We start from the raw sequence: 27153 nt of genomic DNA, 5'->3' as shown, positions 1-27153 counted from the left end.
CGGGGATGGGGGATGGGGTGGGGGGTTCCTGAACCCTGAACCCTGACCCCTGCTTGGTGAAACCACCCCACCCCAGCTCAGGGGTCGTCAAAAGCACCCTGGGGAACCTCTGCCCTTGGGAGAGAAAGAAGACACTGCACCTTTAAGTCTGCAGCTGGTTGAGAAAAACAAGCTGTGATTTATATAAGCGGGAAAATCATGTGATTTGCAGGAACGCTCCCTCCTCCCCCGACCCCCCGCGTCGCCTCCAAGCCCTTCCCAGAGGGGCCCGGGCGGCGGGCTGGGCCCGGCTGCCCATGAGGGGCGCGGGTGGGGGGCGCGCCGAGCCTCGGTTCACAAAGCCTCTTCCCCGGGCGTGCATTCCCGCAGCTCTTCCTTGCGGACCTCAGACGCGGGGACAGGCGGCGGCGGGCTCTGGGGCGCGGCAGTTTGGTCCCCACGCTGCCTCGCGGCGGGCTGCCGTTCAGGGGGTCCTCGGTGGGGCCCCGCGGTCCTGTGCCTCCGAGGGCGCAGGAGGCCCACTCCCCCGACTGGGTCGGCTGCTACCCTCAGGCCAGGGTGTGCGGTGGAGAAACTGAGGCTCTCCTCCAGCTGCTCTGGGAGAAAGGAAAGCCGGGGACCCCACACACTGGCGTCTGTGTCCCAGAACACCCAGCAGGGGGGAGAGCAATTTAAGAAATAATCTGGTTGGCAAAGGGCGTCATGAAAATCAGCCATTTCTAGAGCTGAGGGGCGGTGGTGTTTAGCCCAGAGGACCTAGCTAGCTTTCAGGGAAAAAACGGATGTGGCCTTTCAGGCAGAGCCCAGAAAAAAAGACCTGTGATTAGGAGACCCTAAGAACCAGCAAAGAACTTCTAAATATTGGAGGGGAGGTGGTGTAGCTGCAAAGAGCCCACACCCACGCTGAGTTAGCTCTGACAGCTTCTAAAGGAAAGGGAGATGCTTAGATTATCCTGAGAAACTGGAGGATCTCCTGAGTGACCTGAAAAGGTCATCTCACTCATCCGCCTGTGGCTGGAGTAAAATATACGGAGCCCATCCCAGGACTCCCAGTGGGAGAGGATGAACAATCACTTCTGAAACTAAGCTCAGGAGAAGTTGAGGAGCTTTCTCAAGGGAGAAGAGCTGCCAGGAGAAGCAAGGGTCTCTCTCAGTGCCACTTCCTTTCCATAAACCATAATGATGGGCTCTGAAATTGTCCAAGGAAGGAAACCCATGGCTTCTCAGAGCAACCAGTACCAGGGGTTCAAGTTCGTCAGAGAGCATGTTGAAGTTCTATTTTATTTTCCTCCATTGGTCACCTGCTGGGGATGAGGCATAGGCCTAGTGTTGTCACCTGGAGGAAAGACATGATGCAATTAACAAAGCTGCTAATGCCTCCTCTCACCCTGACCTCTGCTCTTAGCCTCTGTACCAGCCCACCCTCTGCATCCTGCACAGCCAGCTGGGCCCTGAGAGGTCCTCCTGGCCCTCCTCCCACCCGTCCTTTGCCTGTCAGATGGAGGGTCTTTATGCTGAGATCACTGGAGAAACAGAGCTTCAGTGCACTCTGTCACACCAGCAATGAGAAAACCTTTCTAAAGGGGAAAGCTCACAGTAGGCAGATTCCTGATTATTCCATAAATCCTGGAGAAGAAAAATATAGGTTAACATAAGGATTCAAGAGGATGACACTCTGTGTGTTCAGGCATAAGCTAAATTCACTCATTCCGTTATTTAGTGATTTTGTTATTTAGGGTGTGCCTGGCACTGAGCTAGGCGCCGGGGCTACCACATGAATAAGACAGAGATGGCCCCTCCCTGAACCCTGCCGCATGCCCTTCCACTCTGCCTCCCAGGACAGGAGGCTATGATACACTTTCCTCTCCTGCACCAGCATATGTCTGTCTCCTTCCCAGCCCACCCCTAGCAGGTGTTGTCCCCAGCCCCAGCTGCTTATGTCTCGTGTGTTCTGCCAAGAGCTGCTTCTGTCAGAAGGCACTAACTCTCTGGTGATTGGGTGGTGGATAGAAGAGGTAACCTAAAGGCCTGTCCAGAAAATGAGATCAAAGTTGGCAGCCTCCTGGGCCCCTCCCAAAAAAGGATATAGCCACCACCATTTATAATTAATTCAGGCCCCACTTCACTCTGTCCCACCTGCTTTCTGTCTCTCTCTCTCTCTTTTTTTTTTTAAGATCTTTTTCTGATATGCCTGGTTGCCCCAATGCAAGTCTCCTCTTTCTGAAGCTTCCTGTGCCACCAGGGGCCTGTCCACCTCAGAGACCTCTCAGGTGCAGCTCAGCTGCATCCACAGGGGGTCCTGAGTCCCTAGGCCCTGCACAGATGTCTACCCAGGTTCTCTTGGTCTCTTCCATAGCTATGAGGCCTCCTCATTGAGGGTGCCCAAACACCACCCTTAATCACAAGTTTGCCAGCCTCCACCTTCTAACCCTCCTAGACCACATCAGCCCCTGCCTTATTCCAGTATTTTCCTGATTTCGCCTATTTCCAGCTTCCCTCAGCCATTCACAAGCACAGCCTGATGCTGTGCATAGGAAGACCTGGCAGTAAGCCTATGGTGAACAAATATTTTTAATGAACAAACAGAAATTATGGCCCCAAACTGAAAACACCCTGGAAGCCACAAACTCTGTTACCTTCAAAAGAAGCCAGATCTGGACCGCTGAGGTTTTTAAAAAATGCAATGAGCGAATTAGTGAAATCAGTTCATCACGGACACTGTGTCTTTCAGGAAATGAAGCCTCCGAAGAAAAAAGGGATCCTAGCCCCTGCCAAATTCCATTCTGTTTCAAATTAGCCTTCCAGTAAAATGAGGGGGCTGTCCTAACTGGTCTTTAAGGTCCTCCTAGTACCAGAGCTCTGAGGCTCTGTATTTCCCCTGAACAACCTCTTGGAACTCTCCACATTCTCATAACAGAAGAAAATGCATTTGTGCTCTGGGCTGAAGCTCAGAAGTGGGCTTTCACGACAGTCATTTCAGGCCTGTTTCCCTTTTTCTCCCTTCCCTGAAAGGGCCTCTGGTCTTTCCCAAGCTGCCTGAGTAGAAGGAAACACACAGCTCCCCCAGAGCAGAGAGGCCCGCGAGAGGGAAAGCTGGCCCAGGCCCAGGGCAGGCTCGCCTCTGACTCTGCAGGGACATTATTCCCTCCCAGCCAGCAGGGAACTTCTGGAACTTCTAAACAGCACATCCTCGAGCCAGCCCAGGCCCCCACAGCATCCTGCACCCCAGGTTTACAAGCTTTTTAATGGTAAGTAACACATTTGGCAAACCTCCTCAAGTGTGAGCCAAGCCAGGCCTTTTTCCCCAAGTCCCAAGTAACAAAGGGATGCTGGGCTGGGCCAAAAACAGGATCTATCTAGCCAGATGAGCCTAGAGCCTTGGTTCTCGGGGCCAAGGCTGGACAGGACCAGAGGGAAATGTCCTCGGCCAGCCTCACTCTGGTCTCCGTCACCATGCAGGCTGGTCCAGAGATTTCAGGATGCATCACTGATTCCAGGCAGGGCTCCATCCCCGGCCCACACTCAGCCCAGGACCTGGCCAGAGAATCACCAAGCATTCCCGGCAACACGATGCACGGCCCATTTTCCATGCCAGGCTCTTCCAGGGTCTCTGGGTGGGAGCAGCCCGGCCTTCTCACTGGGTTCCTGCTATGTCTGGGGGGTACAAAAAGCTTATGTTGGCCAGGCGCAGTGGCTCATGCCTGTAATGCCAGCACTTTGGGAAGCCAAGGCAGGCAGATCAATTGAGGACAGGAGTTCAAGACCAGCATGGCCAACATGGTGAAATCCTGTCTCTACTGAAAATACAAAAATTAGCCAGGCATGGTGGCACATCCTATAGTCCCAGCTACTCAGGAGGCTGAAGCAGGAGAATCACTTGAACCTGGGAGGCAGAGGTTGCAGTGAGCCAAGATTGCGCCCCTGCACTCCAGCCTGGGCGACAGAGCGAAAACCTGTCTTAAAAATAAATGAATAAATAAATAAAGGTATATGTCTCCATCAGAGATAGTCAACTGCCATATATCTCTGCTTTCAGATGATTTTAAAGAGAAGGTGTTTTGAAAGCTCGAGACATGTTCTGGGCTTGGCTTTGGCTCTACCTCCATCTCTGTTTTGAGAAACACAGTCCTCTTCTCTGTGTATCTGGAAATCTTGGAGGCACTGAGCTGTGTTGCAGGGACTTCCTCATTACCCAGGCTGTGCCTTGTCCAAGTGTTGCCAAAGGTCTCCAAGAAGAGAAATCCATCCACTCCTTCCTTCAGGCTGTCTAACTGGCGTGCCTGCCCTGTCATATCCAAGCAGTGACCCCAGCCCCATTCCCCTAAGAGTAGGGACTCCATCATTGTGTCCCCGCAAGCTTGCAGTTCTCTCAAATCTTGTCACAACCCCCCACCTTCTGGGTGCCAAGATGCTCAGACGGTTTGTGATTCCTCTGATGACCTCTGGCTGGGATTCCCTGCTTCCCACCTCTCACCCTCTATCTGCACCTCAACTCCCACAGCTGCTCTCCTCTCCCACCCGCTCTTTATCACCCTTTGCTTAGCCCCGTCCCTGCATTGCCCCAGCCACGCCCAACTCACACGGCAGCAGACTTTTACTCAAGGTTAGGGGTCATAGAGAGGAAATGACAGTAAGCAAATGAGAATCTACGAATAGACATTACCCTGAAAGTTCACCAACCATCTCCCACCTCAGAAAACTTCTCACTGTTCCCTAAGTCCCAACTTAAACCATCTTCTCTCCAGCCTTCCCCTTCTCTTCTAGACCCTTCTACCCAAATTCCAAGTTCCTGGGGATTCATCTTGCAAAACAATTTGTCTTGCCTTCCGCATGCCCAGAAAGTCTCATTGTTCTCACCAGAGCGCTTCCCTATCAGGGTTCATCATAGCATAATCCTCAAAACAGAGGCATCTACCTCCAGGATAGATGCCAGCCCGCCCCTGGAATGATAAAGCACAGCATTTTGTTTTCTATGTAACACTTTCTTCCTATCCACCCGCCACCACCGCCCCCTTACATCTGGTACCCCTGACAGTCAAGAAATCCACCCCAAAATGTTCCTGTTTTCTTTTTCCTTTTTGCTCTTTCTTTCCTTTTTCTTTTCTTTACTCCTCTATAGGCATGGCACATCACTGATCAGCATTCCTGCTGCAGTCGAAATGGTGATCTAATTAAAAATAAGTCAGCATGAATCAGATACAAAAGCACAAAATATTGTATGCTTCCCCTTACATAAGGTACCTAGAGTAGCCAAATTCCCAGAGACAGAAAGTAGAATAGTGGTTACCAGGAGCTGGGGAGAGGGGAGAAAGGGGAGTTATTGTTTAGTGGGTGTGGAGTTTCAGTTTGGGAAGATAAAAAAGATGGAAAATGATCATGGTTGCACAATAGTGTGAATGTACTTCATGTCACTAAACTGTACACTTAAAAATGGTTAAAATGGTACATTTTATTTTATTATTTTTATTTATTTATTTATTTACTGAGACGGAGTCTCGCTCTGTCACCCAGGCTGGGGTGTAGTGGGGCCATCTCGGCTCCCTGCAACTTCTGCTTCCTGGGTTCAGGTGATTCTCCTGCCTCAGTCTCCCAAGTAGCTGGGACTACAGGCACCCACCACCACGCCCGGCTAATTTTTGTATTTTTAGTAGAGATGAGGTTTCACCATGTTGGCAGGCTGGTCTCGAACTCCTGACCTCAGGTGATGCGCCCACCTTGGCCTCCCAAAGTGCTGGGATTACAGGCGTGAGCCACCATGTCCAGCCAAAATGGTACATTTTCCATTATGTATACCTTACCACAATACAAACAATAATGTCAATAACATTCATTCTGACCTCAAGAGAGACCTGCCGTTAATTCCACAAATAAGGGCTTTTCCCTCAGCAACTTTGGATCATATCACTTCTGTGAACTCCTGTGCAGAGAGGCTGTGCCCAGGAGATCAGCCTCACCTGCCTCAGGCTTGGTGGTCAATCTTTCTGCTGACCCCACCCATGTGGCTGTAGACTTTATGCTCCCTTCCAAACTGATGGAAAACAGAAGAAGCACACAGCAGCTGCCACTGGAATAGGAGCCTTCAGACGTTGGTTTTAAGCCTAGTTCAGCTGTTAACTAGCTATGCGGCCTTGAACAAGTTATTTAATCTCTCTTTCAATATCCTTATAAAGAAAATGGAGAGGATAATAGCCGGTCCCCAGTGAAATAATGGATGCGAACAAACACACTTTGAGAAGTGTGTGCAAGCTGGTTTCATCATCTCTTAAACATCTCAGATATAAGAAGGAAGTTGCTACCTGGAAATAAGGAGGTAGACGGCAAATAGCTAAGTAAATACAACCTAAAAATACCACTTTGATCTTGGGCCAATGTCCCTGAATCATCATCCTCCTCAAAGATGGAATGAAGCAAGGTCCTTCACAGTCTGGTCTCTACTAAGAAAACCCCATTTTACTGAGACACTGATTTTCCCCATGATTCGCTTTTATTCAGAGCCAATATCCAGCTTTGTCCACAGGGTGCCCGCTGCGTTGCTTCACTGAGGTGAGGAGTGGGTTCTGAGCAGGAGCATCGTCGGGGAGGAGTGGGAACAGGACAGAGGGAAGGGCTGATTCCCAGGAGCACGTGTTCCCAACAAGGCCCTCTCATAACGTTCACAGCACTCGGGCATGTTGACTGTCAAAAGACAAATGAAAAGGTGACAGCATGAGTAGGGTAGATACAAGACTACAGTCTCATAAAAGACGGTGGCCTGATAGTGGCTTCAGATGGTGGCATTGGCTGCCCCTCAGTCTGGCTGCCAGCTGGTCCCGCTGCCCTGGCTCTGGTCCCTTGGGAAGTAAGAGGCAGCACTTCTTGTCAGGAAGTCTCTCTTTCCCTCAGGCCTTAGGAAGAAGTTCAGGTCCCCACAGCCCAGGTGAGTCCACACTCTTCCTCCCTCTGGCCTCCCCTGCCTCACCAGGACCCTCTCCTGTCCTTCTCTCAGCTGTCCCTTCCCACCTCCAGGGAATGCCCAGAGGCACAGGTCCCTGTACTCCACATCTCTGGCCCCAGCCACACTCAGGCCCGTCTCACACACCTCACAGTGACCCAGCTCAGCCCAGATGGAAGTCATCTGGTTAGGGCTTCAGACTGATTTCACCAACAGTGACGTTATGCTTGTCCACACCCATTCCCACATCACCTCCTTCCGAGTCCCCTTCCCACTCACACAGGCAGTGCCAAGAAGTGAAAATGGAAGCAGACTCAAAGAACCCAGGCTGGGGTTGTGTCTGGGGACACGACCAGGGCCCAGGGCTTGGACCATGGACAACTTCAGGCTCCGCCTTATCCAGCCCAGCCTCCCAAGCCGCTGCCACACCACAGCTGCAGAATCTGCAACCTACAGGAGCTCGCTTTTCACTTAAAGCCAAGGGAGGGGAACGGAGAGATTTCCCGCAAAGCCGTTCTCTCATAGGGTAGCCTGTTTCCCTGCTTCCCTCTGGGCCTCAGGACACTCAGGGTGGCCTGTCCTTGCTTCGGCCCCACAGCCTTCAATCCAAGCCAGCCAGGGGTGTCTGCGTATCACCACACCCCAGGTCCAAGGACCCAGAGGGGCAGAGGGTTTTTGCGGGCTCTGAGAATGTCACCATGAGTTGCAAAATTTATGGGATTTTAACTTTACCCAGCCAGGGCAGACCCAGAGGACCTTGATTCCGTGGACGACCAATGGAATAAACTGTTTCTACAAATGGGGCCTCATCCCAACCTCCTCTCCACCCCTCCTCTCAAAGGTGGCCTGTTTAAAAGCAAGCTACTGTAACCTTACCACACCTTCCTGGGAGCTGGGTGGAGGGCAGGGGTAGGGGTGCTGAGCAATCACTGTGGCTGAGAGCTCCCTGGAAAGCGGGAGAGAATTCAAGAACTCCCCATTCTTGAAAGAGCCAGAGTGGTTCCTCACAAGAAACCTTGGAGTGTCACTGGCCGAACCGCTAGCACAGCCTGGAATGTATGAGCCACCAGCTTCTCCACCAGTGGCCCTCTCAGTTCCTCCATGGAGGCTGGGGGTGGAGAGGAATAATGTTTCTTCTGAGGCCCTCCGGGGCGTAGCCCATCCCAGCCTTCTCACAGGGTGCTTTGAGGGAGAAGCTGCAGCCCAGCCTCTCCAGCCTCTGCCCTCACAAAGGCACCCTCTGTCACAGCCTCCCCCACGATCCCTACTCCCCGCACCCCGCACCACACACATGCACTTCCTACAGGAGCAGATTCCAAGCCCAGTTAATGTCGGATGCTGCCTCCCGACAACATGCTGGAACAAAGGCTGCTCATGACTAAATGTGCCGGGGTGCTTGTCAGGGCTTAGGCAAACGTAATTACAGGGAGAGGCAAAGCCGCTCTTGCAGCCACACCTGGCCATACAGTAAACAGCACTTTTTCCTGTCGAGCTGGGGGGAGCTGAGAGACAGGGAGGCGACAAACCACAATTTGAATCATTTGGAGAGAAGCTATAAATATAATAATGAGTCATTTGTAAAATATAATTTCATCCAAAAGCCTGGAAAAAAATAGGAAAGAAGTTCTTATGCTATTTCAGGCTAAATTGTTCAAGGGTGTTCTGCCAGAACCTGGGGAGGGGACCCAGCTGCCCACCAAGAGCCAGGCTGGGATTCACATACGGACCTTCCCGAGCTCCCCGCCTCCCACCAAGAGTGCTGCCTGGGACAGTGCCTTCCCCGGGCCCTCGGAGTATGGAATATGCCGAGATGGGAATGCTGCAGACTCTAGCGCTTGCTCTGTGGAGAGCTGATAAGAATCATGGACCAGCCAGCCTGACATCCAGGCTGTGCAACCTCAGAACAGTTTAGGGCAGGCACGCTGTTGTTTTTGGCAAACTCTCCCCCAGCCTGGAGGCCCTACCAGCCTTTCATGCTCAGGGTGGCTTTTCTAGTGCTGTTCCAAAGTCTCTTCTAGAACACCGGGAAGACTTAATTCTAGCCCTGGGCCCCAACTTCTCTGGGGGAAGAACGTGGAGCCTTTCTAAAGCTCTGTCTGAGGGAGGGGGCTGAGGTCACACTAGGCTTGGCCCAGGTCACCACTACCATTCTGGGTAGTTGTGAAGAGCATGTGCTCTGGAACTAGACTTTTCTTAGGTTCAGTTACATCTGGGCCACTTAATACCTGTGTGACCTTAAGAAAGTTACTTAACCTCTCTGGGCTCAGTTACCTCATTTATTAGATGGGTTTAATAATAATTGTACCTTCCTCAAAGGGTTCTTGACAAGATGAAAAGAGTTAATATGGAAACACTTGGAATAGGGCTTGGCATAGTAAGTACTCAATAATGTTAACTAATAAGATTATTATTATTTCTCACTGGGCATCTTGGTACAACAGGAAACCACAGAACAAAGGTACCATGGCATACATCGTTCACCACGGGTGACCGTGGATACACGGGGTCAGGTCCCCTGGCTTGTCCTGTTGACCCTGAGCAAACTCTTCAATTTCTGCAGCCAGAGGATCCCCCTTATCCCTCCTGACACCCCTACTTTGCCTCTGAACTGAACTGCAAGTAGGGAGAGGAGACAGGGTAGCATTCTACCTACTGGAGTTTGGTTTTGGTTTTGTCTTTTAGAGACAGGGTCTCACTCTGTCACCCAGGCTGGAGTGCAGTGTTGTGATCATAGCTCACTGCAGCCTCTAACTCTTGGGCTCAAGCGATCCTCCCACTTCAGCCTCCCAAGTAGCTGAGACTACAGGCCGCACCACCACACCCAGCTAATTTTTAAACTTTTTTTAGAGATAGGGTCTCACTATGTTGCCCAGGCTGGTCTCAAACTCTTGGCCTCAAGCCATCCTCCTGCCTCGGCCTCCTGAGTCATGGGGATTACAAGTGCAACAAGCCACTATGCCCGTCTTCTACCTACTGTTTAGGGGCCCTAAGTCAGTTGCTACTTTAAAACAACTGAACACATCCTGAGCTCTAACTTCAGCCCCTCCTTCTCTTCCCTGTTCTCCTCCTCCCTTCTTCTCTTCACTTCCCTCCATACTTTCCTGTTCTTTGTGCTACACCTCTCCTCCTTCCTTGTCTTCTAATGCCAGGGCAGAGCTGGGAGAGTGGGATGAGATCAGTGTACTCAAAGCCTCTGTTCCACCCAAACCACCAGGTCCTTTTCCCTTGTTGCTGAGAGTGGCCTTGAAAACCCTCAGTAACACTTCTCCCCTGCCCTTAGGTGCCTGCTACACCCAGGGAGGCCAGAAGAGGTGGACAGAAATAGTCTCCATGTCAATATGCTGCATTTTCCTTTCTCAGAAATCAGAGCACCACAGCCAGCTCTAGCCCAGAGGGAAAGTAAGAGGATGTTTCTGCAGCAGCTGTCCTTTCTCCTGTAACTACTAAACTGTCGCCCCTCACTAAAGAGGATGGCTTTGCCTATGCTGTCCCCACCCCTTGAAGCGAGCTTCCTCCTCTATTGGGATAGGTAACTCTCTTTTCTTCAATAATTCTTTAATGTTATAAAATACCTGCCAGTGTTCACATTTCCCTGAATGATTTTTAATTCTTTTTCCTTTTTTAGTATGTTTGTTTGAAGTAGGAATCTAAACAAGATCTATATATTGTGATTAATTGATATGTCTCCGAAGTCTCTTGTTTATAGTTCTCTCTCTTTGTAAATCTCTCTCTCTCCCCTTGCACTTTTTTTAATGAAAAAAAAATCTGATTGTTTATCTTACAGAATTTCCCAAATCTGGATTTTTAAAAAAAATTAAAACACAGTGATATCATTTAACATGTTTCTCTGTCTGTTGTAAAGCCAGTAAATTGATAGTTAGATCCAGTGGCCAGGGTCAGGTTTGGTTATTATTATCTCTTTTTGTTCTTATTTTTTGACAATATTACTTCACATGGGTGGTATATAACACCTGGCTGCCGCTCTTTTTGTCACATTGTCAGTCATTGTTGATCGTTGCCTATATTCATTAATTCATGAGAGCATACAAAATTTTGTTACTCTGTTCTGTCATTACTTATTCATTTATTAGATAGAATTCCCCATTTCCAGTGCTCTTAAATTGCTGTGTATAGATTCAGATTTCTATCTAGTATAATTTTCCTTCTGTTTGAAGGACTTCTGTCACTGTTTTTTTTTTTTGAGATGGAGTCTCACTCTGTTGCGCAGACTGGAGTGCAGTGGCATGATCTTGGCTCACTGCAACCTCCGACTCCCCAGTTCAAGTGATTCTCCTGCCTCAGCCTCCTGAGAAGCTGGGGCTACAGGCATCCACCACCACGCCCAGCTAATTTTTTGTATTTTTAGTAGAGACAGGGTTTCACTGTGTTAGCCAGGATGGTCTCGATCTCCTGACCTCGTGATCCGCCCGCCTCGGCCTCCCAAAGTGCTGGGATTATAGGCGTGAGCCACTGCGCCCAGCCATGTCACTGTTTTTTATAATGCAAGTCTTCTGGTGATCCTTGATATTTTAAATGTCTGAAAAAGTTTTTATTTCCCTTTCATTTTTGAAAGCTACTCTTGTTGGGTATAGAATTCTAGGATGACAATTTTTTTTCCTTCAGTATTCAAAAGATGTTACTCCATTGCCTTCTGGCTTTCGTTGTTTTCAAAAAGAAGTCTGCGGCCAGGTGCAGTGGCTCACGCCTGTAATCCCAGCACTTTAGAAGGCCAATAAGGGCAGACAACCTGAGGTCAGAAGTTCAAAACCAGCCTGGCCAACATGCCGAAACCCTGTCTCTACTACAAATACAAAAATTAGCTGGGCATGGTGGCCCACACCTGTAATCCCGGCTACTCAGGAGGCTGAGGCAGGAAAATCGCCCGAACCCAGGAGGCAGAGGATGCAGTGAGCCAAAATTGTGCCACTGCACTCCAGCCTAGGCCACAGAATGACAGCAGACTTCTTTTTGTTTTTCTTTTTCTTTTATTTCTTTTCTTTTTTTTTTTTTTGAGACAGAGTCTTGCTCTGTCACCCAGGCTGGAGTGCAGTGGCGTGATTTTGGCTCACTGCAAGCTCTGCTTCCCGGGTTCACACCATTCTCCTGCTTCAGCCTCCCAAGTAGCTGGGACTACAGGCGCCCGCCACCACGCCTGGCTAACTTCTTGTATTTTTAGTAGAGACAGGGTTTCACCATGTTAGCCAGGATGGTCTCGATCTCCTGACCTCGTGATCTGCCTGCCTTGGCCTCCCAAAGTGATGGGATTACAGGCATGAGCCACCACGCCCAGCCTTTTTTTTTTTTTTTTTTTTTTTTTTTGAGATAGAGTCTCACTCTGTGGCCCAGGCTGGAGTGCAGTGGCACAATCTTGGCTCACTGCACCCTCTGCCTCCTGGGTTCAGGTGATTCTCCTGCCTCAGCCTCCCAAGTAGCTGGGATTATAGCCATGTGCCACCAAGCCCGGCTAATTTTTTTTTTTTTTTGGAGATGGAGTCTTGCTCTGTCACCCAGGCTGGAGTGCAGTGGCATGATATCGGCTCTGCAACCTCCACCTCTCGAGTTCAAGCAGTTCTCTTCCTCAGCCTCCCAAAGAGCTGGGATTACAGGCACCTGCCACCACACCTGGCTAATTTTTTTTATTTTTAGTAGAGATGGGGTTTCACCATCTTGGCCAGGCTGGTCTTGAACTCCTAACCTCATGATCCACCCACCTTGGCCTCCCAAAGTGCTGGGATTACAGGCGTGAGCCACTGCACCTGGCTATTTTTTTTTTTTTTTTTTTGTATCTTTAGTGGAAACAGGGTTTCACCATATTGGCCAGGCTGGTCTCAAACTCCTGACCTCGTGATCCCCCTGCCTCAGCCTCCCAAAGTGCTGGGATTACAGGTGTGAGCCACTGCGCCCGGCCTGCTGTCATTTTTAATGTTCTACCCTTGTACATAGTGTATCCTGTTTTCCTCTAGCTGCTTGTAAGAAATTCTGTTTCACACTGGTTTTAAACAGTTTGGTTATGATGTGTCTTTGTGTAGTTCTCCAGTTTTTTGTGCTAGGGGTTCATTGAGCTTCTTGGATTTGTGGACTTACAGTTTTCATCAAATTTGGAATATATTTGGCCATTATGTCTTCAAGTATTTTTCTACTCTCCTCTTTTTCCTGGGACTCCAATTACACAAATACTAGGCCACTTGAAGTGCTCTGCTCTTTTTTGTTTTCCTCAATATTTCTTCTCTGTGTTTCTGTTTGGATAGTCTCTATGACTATAGCTTCAGGTTCATTTGTTTTTGCCTCTGCAGTGTTTACTCTGCTACTGATTTCATCCAGTATATTTTTTATTTCACATTATATTTTTCATTGCTAGAAGTTTAATTTGGATCTTTTTAATATCTTCCATGCCTTTATTTAGCATACTTAATCTTTCTTTTATTTTCTTAAACATGTAATAACTGTTTTAATGTCCTTGTCTACTAATGTTCTTTTTCTAACATCTATGTCATTTCTGGGTCTGTTTCTATTGATTAGTTTATTTTCCTTGTTATTGGTCATATTTTCCTCATTATTTGTATGCCTGTATCCAATAATTTTTGACTGGATAGTATACATTGTGAATTTTACCTTGTTGGGTGTTGCATATTTTTATATTTCTGTAAATACTCTTGAACTTTGTTCTGAGACACAGTTATTTGGAAACAGATCTTTTCAAGTTTGATTGTGTTTAAACTTTGTTAGTTAGGACCATAATATCCACTAGTTTAGTACTAACTTTGCCCCACTACTGAGATAATACCCTTCTGAGTACTCTGTCTGATGTCTTGTGATTTATGAGGTTTTTCAACTGGCTGGTGAGAACATACACTCCAGGGATTATTTCCTCTGCTCCTTTTGTGTGGTTGTTTCCCTAGACTCAGATACTTTCCTCACATACATGCTCTGATCAATACTCAGCTGAAGACTCAATGGGACCCTCTGCAGATTTCTGCATCTCTCTCTCGCTCTCTCTCTCCTCCCACCTCCTGCCCCCCACCCTTATTCTCTTCCTTCATCTCTCTGTAGCTCTCTCCTGTCTGGTACACTGCCCTTAAAACTATAGCTGCCTTGGCCTCTCTGAATTCCCTGTTGCATCTCCTCAGCTCAGAGAGACTACTGGACTCTGCCTGGGTTGCTCCTCTTTGCACAGCAGCCTGGAAACTCTCTCAAGGCAGTAGGATGGAGCAAATGTACAGCTCAGTTCACTTGTTTTCCCTCTCTCAGGGATCACTGTCCTGTGCTGTCTGATATCCAAAACCATTGCTTCATATATTTTATACAACATTTTAATTGCTCCAGGAAGGAGGGTAAAGTCCATCCCTGTTATTGCATCTTGACCAGAAACAGCAGTTGTTCTGGATAACTTCTGCTTAAATTTGTATATTCAGCTCAGGACCTTGCTTTCAGAAGATATCCCTATGCCTCACCATTATCTCCACCAGTGCAGGTTGGAAGCTCTTCTTTAGTGAGCTTATAATACCCTACCTGTGAGTATGATTATCGCTCCTGAGTCTCTCTGCAGGGCCACCAAGTTGCTTTCTAGTCTGTGAGTTCATCTGGGGTACAGTTATGTCTACACATCTTTGTATTCTCCCTGGCGTTTTGCATATAGTAGGTGCTGAATTAAATGTTTAGGAGATCTCAGTAAACATAAGATTCAGTTTAAAAAAAAGAAATAAAAAGAAAAGAAAAAGCAAACAAGAAAGAAAAATAGAAAAAAAAATAAATGTTTAGGAGAATGACACCAGGTGCAGTGGCTCATGCCTGTGATCCCAACACTTTGGAAGGCCAAGGCAGGAGGATCACTTGAGACCAGGAGTTTGAGGTCAGCCTGGGCAACAGAGAAAGACCTTGTCTCTACAAAAAAAAAGTGAAAACATTAACTGAGCATGGTGGCATGTGCCGGCAGTCCCAGCTACTCAGGAGGCTGAAGCAGGAGGATCACTTGAGCCAGGAGTTCAAGGCTGCAGTGAGCTGTCACCATGCCAGTGTACTCCATCCTCAGCAACGAAGCAAGACACTTACTTTAAAAAAACAAAAAAAGTTTAGGAGAATGAATGGAAAGAAACCCATAGTCACTTGGCCATCACCAGCTATAACTAAACAATGATAAGACCATACCTATAACTGGCATTTACTATTAGACTCACCATAAACTATGGGCACTGACACTGACAGCTGTCTCTGGGCACCTCCCTCATCCTGAGCTGACCTGGCAATGTCCAGATCACTCCCAAGAATGTGACTTTAAATATCCTGACCTTGACAATCCCAAGGCCTTCAATGGAGGGTGTGTGGCACTGAGACATATGAGTCATTCAAGGTGCCAGAAAAGTGTCACTGCTTCACTAAGGCTTTCAGAATACTCCCTGTCCTAAGGTGAGATGGAGGAAAGAAAATAAACATGGAAAAGCTTAGTAAACACTCTCCCCAGGGTTTGTCACATTCTCTACCTCCCACAGATGTGTCCAGAACTCTCTGACTATACAAGGGACACTGACAGAGGATCCCAGGCACACTCACTGCCAGGTCAGTGTCTGGACAAAGCAATCCTAATAGAGCCAAGGCAGAATTAAACATGATCAAGAAGTAAGGGAGCAGGGACTCAGGGCAAATCAGTTCCTGGAATCATAGTCTGCTTACTTCCCAAAACCACCTTGGTTCCAGAAACCCATGCTTTTCAGGTCTAATAGACAAGGCTGTGCTGAGCTCTCAGTCTGGGCCCTACACAGTGCACAGATACTATCAGGACAAAATGAGTCCTGCTGATCATCCCTAAAGAATTTAATACTAGGCCAGGCGCCGTGACTCATGCCTGTAATCCCAGCACTTTGGGAAGCCGAGGCCGGCGGATCACGAGGTCAGGAGTTCGAGACCAGCCTGACCAATGTGGTGAAACCCCGTCTCTACTAAAAATACAAAAACTAAAAACATATATATATATTAGCCGGGTGTGGTGGCATGGGCCTGTAATCCCAGCTACTGGGGAGGCTGAGGCAGGAGAATTGCTTGAACCCAGGAGGCAGAGGTTGCAGTGAGCCGAGATCATACCACTGCACTCCAGCCTGGGCAACAGAGCGAGATTCCGTCTCAAAAAAAAAAAGTAATAATTTCCTTCAATGCAGTGTTTCCCAAAGCGGGGCTCCCTGGCCACCCACATGTGGATCATCAAGGATATTTGTTAATAATGCAGATCCCCAAGCCCAATCCCAGATGGAAGGAATCAGATTCTTTGGGGATGAAGCCCAATAATCTGTATTTTTAATAAACGTCTTCTGTACACAAAAGTGTGAGAACCACTGTTTTAATGTTCACAGAAGACATTAAAGCAGTGGTTCTGTGAAGACAAATTCGTTGTGCTTTGGGACCTGAGAATTATGTTAGGAGTTGAAGTCTCTAGCCATTGTCATCTGAGCTTGAAGTTTCTTTGTGGGCTTCAAGTTTATTTGCTTCTGGTTGATTCTATGAGCTAGTATATGAAACCAGAGCTCCCCTTGAGACAGAGTTTCATTCTTGTTGCCCAGGCTGGAGTGCAATGGCATGATCTCGGCTCCCTGCAACCTCCACCTCCCAGGTTCAAGGAATTTTCCTGCCTCAGCCTCTCGAGTAGCTGGGATTACAGGTAGGCGCCACCAAGCCCAGCTAATTTTTGTATTTTTAGTAGAGATGGGGTTTCTCCATGGTGGTCAGTCTGGTCTAGAACTCCCGACCTCAGGCGATCCGCCCGCCTCCGCCTCCTAAAGTGCTGAGATTACAGGCGTGAGCCACCGCGCCCGGCCAAAACCAGAGCTCTTTGTGAGACTAGTCTTTGAGTCTGGAGTCTGGCCTGGGTATTTCTTTCACTAAGCAAATAGGTCTTAGTTCTCTTCCCAAATACCCAGCCTTACGTTTAGTCTCAAACTGTACCTTTGAACAACTTGAAGAAACTGCCTGGGAGGCACTCTAAATCTGGTCGTTGCCAATAGGCTGTGTCCCACTTACATCTGTCATGGAAGTTATGGTCACCTTTGTTTTAGGAGGAATAAAAAGCAGGAGGTGCTTGGGAAAGGGCTAGGGATAAGCCATCAACCATATCCCATATCCTATATCCCATATTCCATATCCTATAGCCCACATCCATATCCCATAGTCCATAGCCCATATCCCACATCCATAGCCCATATCTCATATCCCATATCCCACATCCATACCCCATATCTCATATCCCACAGCCCATATCCCATGTCCCATATTCCATATCCCATATCCCACATCCATAGCCCATATCCATATCCCATATCCATATCCCACATCCATAGCCCATAGCCCATATCCATATCCCACATCCATATCCCACATCAATATCCCATATCCCATATCCCACATCCATATCCCATATTCCATATCCCATATCCCACATCCGTAGCCCATAGCCCATATCCATATCCCACATCCATAGCCCATAGCCCATATCCATATTCCACATCCATATCCCATATCCCACATCCATATCCCATATGGCATAGCCCATATCCCATATCCATATCCCACATCCACATCCCATATCCCATATCCATATCCCACATCCCATATCCATATCCCACATCCATATCCCATAGCCTATATCCATATCCCATACCTCATATCCATGTCCCATAGCCCATATTCATATCCCATAGACCATATCCATATCCCATGTCCCATGTCCCATGTTCCATATCCCATATCCCATATCTTGTATCCCATATCCCATATCTCATATCCCATATCCCATACAATGCAATCCCCCATCCCTGTTTCTGTTCACATTAGGTTAGTGCAAAAGTAATTGCAGTTTTGCAATTCTTTTCGATGGCAAAAAACGCAATTACTTTTGCACTAACCTAATACTAACATACCTTGGGACAAAGTTTTCAGGGCTTTCTAGTCCTCTCAGCCATTTTTTTTTTTTTTTTTTTTTTTTTTTACCGTAGGCAGAAAGGGCTTCTCTTATCAAAGCTGTATTTTCTTCCTTCTCTGTTTTGGGGTAAGCTAGTTTGAACATAAGCTTACCCTTTTTTTTTTTTTTTTTTTTTGAGACGGAGTCTCGCTCTGTCACCCAGGCTGGAGGGCAGTGGCATGATCTCAGCTCACTGCAACCTCCACCTCCTGGGTTCAAGAGATTCTCCTGCCTCAGCCTCCCGAGTAGCTGGGATTACAGGTGTGCACCACCATGCTGGGCTAATTTTTGTATTTTTCGTAGAGACGGGGTTTCACCATGCTGATCAGGCTGGCCTCGAACTCCTGACCTCGTGATCCGCCCACCTTGGTCTCCCAAAGTGCTGGGATTACAGGCGTGAGCCACTGCACCAGGCCAGCAACTTACCTTTTTACAGTACTTTATTAATATTAACAAGAAGGAGCCAACCCAATCCAACACTCTACATTTTTCTACTAAGTAGTGTACCGCTACAGCCGCAGATTGTGTAATCTGCACCCCAAGTCACAACAGGAAACTGTATAGCTAATTAGATGGCCAATTTCTCAGCCGAAAATGTAGGGGTTCTTTATCCTTCATCTTACTTCTTTGGTTGGACAATCCCATTTTTAGGGCCTGTCTCTTGAAACACCTTATGGAACTCATTTCTGTATCAGTTAGGAATCTTTAGGTTGCAGTAAACCAATCTCCAATTCAACTGGTTTAAACAATATGGAGAATTTATTGGCTCAATTTACTGTGAAGTCCAGAGGAAGAGGTGGCTTTAAATAAGGCTTGAGGCCAGGCGTGGTGGTCATGCCAATAATCCCAGCAATTTGGGAGGCCAAGGTAGACAGATTGCTTGAGCCCAGGAGTTTGAGACCAGCCTGAGCAACATAGCGAGACCCCGTCTCTACAAAAAAAATTTTAATTAGCTGGGCACAGTGACATGCATCTGTGGCCCCAGCTACTCAGGAGGCTGAGGAGGGAGGATCACTTGAGCCTTTGAGGTCAAGGCTGCAGTGACTGTAATCACACCACTGCAGTCCAGACTGGGCAACAGAGTAAGACCCTATCTCAAAAAAAAAAAGTAAAAAGTAAATAAGGCTTGATCCAAAAGTTCATACAACGTTACCATGAAGTCAGTTCCCCCCCTTCTCTCTCTGCCTTTCATGGCATCATCATGTTTCATATAGTGGTCTTCCAACAGCTCCAGATTTTCCCATAACAGTCATGGCATGGCTATAGCAATTCACACCTTACATCTTCATACTAGTAGCTGCTATAAAAGTCCTGAGACTCACATTCTCTCACTCACTTAAAATGGATCAAGTGCCCATCCCTGAACCAGCCACTGTGGTCAGTGCACTAATTAACTTAGCAATGGTTGGGAAGAAGAGCTCATCACACCCAAATCACATGGTTGAAGATGTGAAATCCTCTAAAGGAAAACCATGACTATGGCAGCAGGCAGGGAACAGACACTGGCGAGGCACCCAACAAGGGGTTTGTAGCCAAATAGCCAAAAATGAGTGTGATCTACTAATTTTTTCCCATACTTTAGTCAAAGTGATCTTACTAAAACTCAGATTCAATCCCATCACCCTCCTGTCTTAAATCTTCAGGCTTCCCATTGCCTTTTGAATAAAGTCAATATTTGTTCATACGGTTGGCAGGGTCCTGTATGATCTGGCCAATCTCTCTTTTCTTCCTCCATCACACTTCAGATAAACTAACCCTTTTTAGTGTCTTAAATTTGCCATGCCCTTTTTGAGCTTTCACACATGGTCTTCCCTGTAACTGAATTTTCATCATACTTCTTTGGCTAATTCCTACTCAGTCCTCAGATTTTAGTTTAAAAGTCACTTCTTCCTGGAAGCTTTCTCTGAGTCCCTAGTACTGAGTCATGTACCCCTCCACAGACTCCACATCACCTCTAATTTTTTTTTTTTTTTTTTGACAGAGTTTCACTCTGTCGCCCAGGCTGGAGTGCAATGACATGATCTCAGCTCACTGCAACCTCTGCCTCCCAGGTTCAAGCAATTCTCCTGCCTCAGCCTCCCAAGTAGCTGGGATTACAGGCACGTGTCACCATGCCCAGCTAATTTTTTTTTTTTTTTGTATTTTTAGTACAGACAGGGTTTGCCATGTTGGCCAGCCTGGTCTCGAACTCCTGACCTCAGGTGATCCACCTGCCTCGGCCTCCCAAAGTGTTGGGATTACAGGCGTGAGCTACTGCACCCAGCCTCCAATTTCTTATATATATATCATTTTTTAGTGTCATTGGCATTTAATAAAAGATAAGGAGATCATTACCATGGTCCTCAAGAAATGACCACCTGAACTAAAAGCGTGGCTGCAGAGACAAACGAGGGAGACAGGGTGATAAGGGAAACATTTAGAATAACTCCCATGTTGCTGGCCTGGTTAATAGGTTAATGACACTGGTGTCATGAGAAGGAGGTTAGATCCTATCAAGCCGTGATGGAGCTGCAGCAGACAACTTTAGGTGTCCTGTACTCTATACCCTCTCTCCCTGCTCAGATTCGGGTGCAGCTGTGGCAGACAGTCCACATGGCTGTCTTTCTGCCTTGGCTGGCTTTCTGCCTTGGGCAGCCCAGAAAAATGCAGGGAGGTTAATATCCCCAGCACAGCGCTCAAGAAATGGGGTGTGAGAGACCATTGAATAAGTGCCCTGGCCTCCTATGCTGCTGGGGGCCAATCTGAGATGCACTCTACTCAGTTCCTTATGGGCCCAGCCAGATCGAGCTTCATTTGCTCACAGTGGTAACCAGCTCAATAACATACTCTTTGTGACTTTTCCTTCTTCCCTGCCTCACTCTTTTTGCTCTCGCACCCTGCTTCCCAGGATCGTCTCCAAAATAAACTCCCTGAGCACAAGTCCAAGTCTCAGTCCCTGCTTTCATCCCAAACAGAAACCATTGAAGACTCTTCGACAGAGAAAATAAGAGGAGAAGCAGGTTGAGGGGCAGCTGGCACCTTAACAGCCACCTGTACTGTGAGAAGCCCATGGGACAACACAGGGCCATGATGTTGGCAGGGATTTGACCTCTGCTCAACCTACAGAACATTTTCCCTTTATTTGTCACTGTTGATCTCTCTCTTTGACATGCTTCACTGACACAATCCTACCCTGGTCTTCCTCCTACATTCCTGGCTACTACTTTCAGTTTCCTTTGTAAAATAAAGTTGCTAGTGTTGAGGCTGGGTGATGGGTACATAGGAGGTTGTGATAGAATGTTATACTTTTGTGTGTCTTACTCTTTCCAAGATACTTTTTGTTTTTGTTTTTTGTTTTTTGTTCTTTGTTTTTTTTGAGACAGAGTCTCGCTCTTGCTGCCCAGGCTGGAGTGCAGTGGTGCAATCTCCCTCACGCAACCTCTGCCTCCTGGGTTCAAGCGATTCTCCTGCCTCAGCCTCCCGAGTAGCTGGGATTACAGGCACTCACCACCACGCCTGGCTAATTTTTTTGTATTTTTAGTAGAGACAGGGTTTCAACATGTTGGCCAGGCTGGTCTCAAACTCCTGACCTCAGGTGATCCACCCACCTTGGCTTCCCAAAGTGCTAGGATTACAGGCATGAGCCACCACACCAGGCCTCCAAAATGCTTTTAAAGAATAACTTTTAGGCCAGGCGTGGTGGCTCATGACTGTAATCCCAGCACTTTGGGAAGCCGAGGCAGGAGTTCGATCACCTGAGGTCAGGAGTTCGAGATCAGCCTGGCCAACATGGTGAAACCCTGTCTCTACTAAAAATACAAAAATTACCCAGGCGTGGTGGCGCATGCCTGTAATCCCAGCTACTTGGGAGGCTGAGGCAGGAGAATCACTTGAACTCGGGAGGCGGAGGTTGCAGTGAGCCGAGATTGTGCCACTGCACTCCAGCCTGGGCAACAGAGTGAGGCTCTGTCTCCAAAAAAAAAAAGAAGAAGAAGAACTTTTAAATGGGGTTTCTCTTCTCATTTCTTCTTCATCTACCTAATGGTTTTCAAATGTGTGCAGAAGCTTACATAAGTGTCACCTGGGGATCTTGTTCAATGCATGCTCACCTTGCCCTACTTGAATGAGCCCCTACTATTTTTCTGACTTTATCTCCCATCACTCCCTTGTGCCTACATTGCTCCAGCCACACTGGTCTTCCTCCTCTTCCCCAAACACATTGATAAGTCCTCCATGCCTCTACGACCTTTGCACTTGCATAACCACAAATGACAGATACCACTAAATGATCTCTGCTCAAATGTTACCTCCTCAAAGCAGTCATTCTAAAATAGTGTGCATGCACACACACACATACACCCTCTATCACACTGACCTGTTTTATTGTCTGCATAAAACCTGTCACTATCTAAAAATATCTGGCTTACTTACTTGTTTACTTGGATTTTGGCCACTAGCTCCATATTGGCTAGCACTCCTAGAAGGTGAGTTCCTATTTACTGCCCTATCACAACTCTGGGCATATTCAAATAGCTTAATGAATATGTGTTGTGTGGATGAAGAGCTATATGCCTACAGGACTTGGGAGGGAGAGCTGGGGGCATAGACATAGGAGCTGGCATCATCACAACAGTAACAGTGGAAACCATTTCGCAAAACGGTTTGCCCAGTAAGAGTGGGTAGAAGTGAGGAAAACCAGAATAGAATCCAGGAGATCAGCCACAGAGCGGAAAAAGGAAAAGGAGCCTGGGAAGGAAACCAAGAAGCAGCCAGAGAGGCCGGACAAGCGCTGGAGGGAGAACTGCCGTAGAAACCAGGATAGAGAGAGTTCAAAAAGAGGAAGTGGTGGACAGAGCAGGCCAAGATGAAACGTACCCAATGGATTCTTGTCACTAGGAAGTCACAGGAAACATTCAGTTTTAGTAAAATGAGGGGCAACTGGCAACCAATGAAAGTCTCTGGACAAATGCCCCAGCCTCCTGCCATTTGGAGGGACAATTATAATAATAAGCTCAAAAGTACGCCCTTGGTTGGCTTGTCTTCCTTTCCTGTTTCATTCTCCCCACTCCCTTCTCCCTCCTCCCTTTACCCTGCTCCCTAGAATCCCTTACCACATAAACAATTAGCATTTTAATCTGTCTCAGGCTTTGCAATCCAGGAAATCCAAACTAGAATAGACTAGCTGCATTTCTCACCTGTTTCTGTTTTCCTAGGAGGGAACGAGACTTTCCCTTTACATTTCATCGTCCAAAACTGGTTTGTGTTCCGATGTCTAAACTAATTATAGCCACCAGGGAAAGGGATTATTAGGATTCGCCTAGACCAACCATGCTTCATTCCCTGAAGCTGGGCATGCTGGGCATTGATATCAAGCCAGGTCCTGGTTCCATCTCCAAACCATCAAGATTCCCAAGACTGGCCGGGCGCGGTGGCTCACGTCTATAATCCCAGCACTTTGGGAGGCCGAGGCGGGCGAATCATGAGATCAGGAGATAGAGACCATCCTGGCTACGGTGAAACCCCGTCTCTACTAAAAATACAAAAAATTAGCCGGGTGTGGTGGTGGGTGCCTGTAGTTCCAGCTACTTGGGAGGCTGAGGCAGGAGAATGTCATGAACCCGGGATGCAGAGCTTGCACTGAGCCCAGATGGCGCCACTGCACTCCAGCCTGGGCGACAGGGCAAGACTCTGTCTAAAAAAAAAAAAAAAAAAAAAAAAGATCCCCAAGACTAATGAGTACGGAGGCCCCTGGCAAGGATGACACCTCTCAACCTCTACACATACGCCCAACTGCATCCACCACAGCCAAGGACTGCTGTACATTCACCCCTCCCCTCTGCAGAGCACTATGCTGAGTGCTGCGGGCCAGAATGCTAAGATCGTAACATAGGATTTCTAACCTGACGGGGGTGTCATCTGGACACATTACATACACGATATAATGTGAAAACACAGAGGACAGCACAGTGGATTGCAACTCAGAGAGGGAAGACTTAGGGTAGACTCGGTTGTGCTGAAGAAACAAAAGGCCTCTCAGATTTATGTGTCTCACACTACATAGCGCCCACAGGTGGACAGGAGATTCTACTCCATGGCACCACGCGCACTCCAGAACCTCCAGCCTGAGAGAACAGCTTTTTTGTGTGTTTTTTTTTTCAGATGGAGTTTTGCTCTTACGCCCAGGCTGGAATGAAGTGGCATGATCTTGGCTCACTGCAACCTCTGCCCCACCAAAATTCAAGCAATTCTCCTGCCTCAGCCTCCCGAGTAGCTGGGATTACAGGCATGCACCACCACACCTGCCTAATTTTTGTATTTTTAGTAGAGATGGGGTTTTGCCATGTTGCCCAGGCTGGTCTCGAACTCCTGACCTCAATTGATTCACCTACCAAAGCCTCCCAAAGTGCTAGGATTACAAGTGTGAGCCACCATGCCAGGTCTGAGAACAGTTTTAATCTGGATGTCACCCATCGCTGAGCCAGAGGGAAAGACAGCTCAAAGGGTTTTGAATTAGCAATTGAATTCTGGAATTCTTGGCCCAGAAGTGAAATGTATGACTTCCACTCACAACCCATTGGCTAAAGCTGGTCACATGGCCCCATCGAACTACAGAGAGCCAGGAAGAGAGATCCTACCATATGCCAGAAGGCAGAGAGGCACAGATATTTAGTGAGCATTGGAAAGACATCTAGAAACCACCAAGGAAGAATGACATTTGAACCAAGATTTGAAAAATATTTTAGTCTTCAATAGATGAAGTTAAGGGCCAGGGAGGAGGATCTGCCAGGTAATTATATAAGAGAAGTCACAGAGGCATGAAATGGCCTGGCTGGTATGACCAAAAGCCAGGCTGAATGAGGGGATAGGGATTGGCCTGGGATCCCCATCCCAGGGGATGGGAAAGGAAGGAGGCAGGAAGGCTGAGCCTAACTGTGAAGGGCTTTGAATCACATAATAAGGATTTTGTACTCTACTAGATTACTGGCAATAGAGAGCTACCAAAGAGTTTTCAAACAGGAAAGCACCATGATCTGATTTGTGTTTTAGGAAGATAACTTTGGCAGCAGAATGGGAAGAAGATTGGATGGGAGAGAGATCAAAGGCTGGGAGATTCTAAGAGGCTGTTGCAGTATAGTCGAGGTAGGTGGTAAGAAGAAACTGAAGTGAGGAAGGGGCTGGGAGAATATGAAGGAGGAGGTAGGTGGGAGAGACAATTCTAATCTAAAAGGACCGCTGCTTCTCTCTTTTTTTTTTTTTTTTTACTTTTATGGAAATATTCAAACATGTACAAGAGTAGAGAGAATAGTTTAATGAACCCCCACATACCATCACGCAGCTTGGTTATCCATACATGGCCGATTTTGCTTCACTTCCACCCCTCACTTCACCCCACTAAATTATTTTCAAGCAAATCCCCATGTCATATCATTTAATCTTTAATTTCTTCATTATGTGTTCCAAAAGATAAAAACTTCTCTGGAACATGACTACCATACCATTATCACCCTAAAAATTAACGATGATTACTTAATGTTATCAAATATCTAGTCAATATCAACGATGATTACTTAATGTTATCAAATATCTAGTCAATATCAAAATGTCCCTGATGGCCTCTTTTATTTTTTCCCAGTTGGTTTGTTTGGATTGGGATCTGAACAAGGTCCTCATATTTCTTTTTTCTTTTCTTTCTTTTTTTTTTTTTTGTTTTTAGAGACAGAGTCTCACTCGGTCACCCAGGCCAGAGTGTAGTAGTGCGATCTCGGCTCACTGCAGTCTGAACCTCCTGGGCACAAGCAATCCTGCTGCCTCAGCCTCTCAACAACCTGGGACCACAGGTGCAAGCCATCACACTCAGCTAATTTTTAACTTTTTTGTAGAGACTTGGGTCTCGCCATGTTGCCCAGGCTGGTCCTGAACTCCTGGTCTCAAGCAATCCTCCCACCTCGGCCTCCCAAAATGCTGGGATTACAGGTGTTAGCCTCCGTGCCCGACCGGCCTTCGCATTTCACTTGGCCCTCCCACTTTTTCTCTCTTGTAATTTGTTCATTGAGGATTCTGCGTCATTTGTCCTACAGAATTTCCCAAATTCTGGATTTTGCTGATGAAATCCCCCCCCACCACCACCATTTACCATCCCTATCTTCCTCCTGCATTTCCTGTAAACTGGTGGCTGATTATAAAATTCTTTTCCTTTTTAACAGAAGCAGAGGGAGAAGGAAAGGGGGAAGGGAATTATTTATCAACACCTACTGTGTGCCAGGCACTGTGTGGGTTCTTGTATAAACATGATCTCATTTAATCCTCACTGATACCCTTTGAGGTGAATATTTATTATCACTATTCTTACGGATGAGGAAACTGGGACTCAGAAAATCTGAGTCTCACAAATTGATCTGACAAAACTGGAAAATGAAGGAACCAGGGTTGGAACCTGGCTGTGTTTGGCTCCAGAGCCCCTTCTCATTGCACTACACAGCCCTGGATTGAAACGGGTTTTGGCACATTAGTGATGGTGCAGGAAGGAGGTCTAGCTAGCCTGAGTTCTGGGACTATTATTCATACTGTTCAGTGTTAATAATACACATTGTGACTTCATATGTGCCAAGTATCTTACATGCATCACGAGGATCTGGACAATGGATGCTTTATTATCCCCATTTTACTGGTGGGGAAACTGAGACAGTGAGGTCCAGAAAGGGCAAGTGGCTTGCTCTGGGCAGTGCAGGTGGTCTCACCAGGTTTTGCTCCCAGGTTTGTCTGCCAGTGGAGTCCATGTTTCCACCACTGTCCTACATGGCCTCTCCTCACGAATGGCTCCAACCTCCTGGGTGCGATGGATGAAGCCGGGTGCAGAGATGGAAAGAGCAGCCCAACTTTCCTAACTGGAGGACTGAAGCGAGAGCTCTCACTGTCGGCCTAGTGTGGATTGACTCCTTTCCACCACATTCCCCAACCAAGGACAGTCTATACCAAGCTCACAGCACTGAGGCGCTGGGGGAGGGCCAGCCCACACCTAGCCCCGTCAATCTTGGTGGCATGGACTCCCTCCTAAAGCTTTCTCAGGAGGCCCCATTTCCTACTGCAGCGGGGCAAGAATTCAGGAGGAGCCCACTCAAAGGGGAGACAGAGGCAGTGCTCCCTGTGAGCAGCTCTTCCTCCTCAGAGCTGTCATGGACAATTGGAGAGAAAAACCGGGACATTCTCCCCAACCAGGATATTTTGTATGCTTTGCACTTACTGCTGCGTTCCCTTCATCTAAAAGCTCTAAAATTTCAAATAAAAAGGTACAATGAAAGCA

General features: G+C 47.4%; 3 long non-coding RNA genes across 3 annotated transcripts, besides 3 other annotated features; 1 reads left to right on the top strand and 2 right to left on the bottom strand.

Moving 5' to 3' along the window:
- Window positions 1-155: 155 nt before the first annotated feature.
- LOC101927608 (uncharacterized) lies at window positions 156-2749 on the bottom strand. The gene is made up of 2 exons (NR_187681.1): window positions 2637-2749; window positions 156-1336 (listed from the first exon to the last, which is right to left on the bottom strand). It is a non-coding gene; the product is annotated as an uncharacterized LOC101927608 (long non-coding RNA).
- LOC283387 (uncharacterized) lies at window positions 506-27153 on the top strand. The gene is made up of 4 exons (NR_148947.1): window positions 506-3248; window positions 24012-24135; window positions 24900-24992; window positions 26607-27153. It is a non-coding gene; the product is annotated as an uncharacterized LOC283387 (long non-coding RNA).
- Window positions 3365-3865: an enhancer, noted in NCBI's record as "H3K4me1 hESC enhancer chr12:58286906-58287406 (GRCh37/hg19 assembly coordinates)". NCBI's record gives its function as "activates a minimal SCP1, AML or CMV promoter by ChIP-STARR-seq in naive H9 embryonic stem cells {active_cell/tissue: H9 hESC(naive)}" and the evidence as "EXISTENCE:reporter gene assay evidence [ECO:0000049][PMID:30033119]".
- Window positions 6466-23147, bottom strand: LOC124902948 (uncharacterized). Its single transcript, XR_007063336.1, has 2 exons — window positions 23048-23147; window positions 6466-6675 (listed from the first exon to the last, which is right to left on the bottom strand). It is a non-coding gene; the product is annotated as an uncharacterized LOC124902948 (long non-coding RNA).
- Window positions 7068-7362: an enhancer, noted in NCBI's record as "tiled region #14680; K562 Activating non-DNase unmatched - State 7:EnhWF". NCBI's record gives its function as "activates a minimal TATA promoter and a strong SV40 promoter by Sharpr-MPRA in K562 cells {active_cell/tissue: K562}" and the evidence as "EXISTENCE:reporter gene assay evidence [ECO:0000049][PMID:27701403]".
- Window positions 21968-22262: a silencer, noted in NCBI's record as "tiled region #12928; HepG2 Repressive non-DNase unmatched - State 7:EnhWF". NCBI's record gives its function as "represses a minimal TATA promoter and a strong SV40 promoter by Sharpr-MPRA in HepG2 cells {active_cell/tissue: HepG2}" and the evidence as "EXISTENCE:reporter gene assay evidence [ECO:0000049][PMID:27701403]".

The sequence above is a fragment of the Homo sapiens genome, chromosome 12 (genome assembly GCF_000001405.40).
Source record: "Homo sapiens chromosome 12, GRCh38.p14 Primary Assembly".
Lineage (NCBI taxonomy): Eukaryota > Metazoa > Chordata > Mammalia > Primates > Hominidae > Homo > Homo sapiens.
This window is presented reverse-complemented; position numbering and strand designations above follow the sequence as displayed.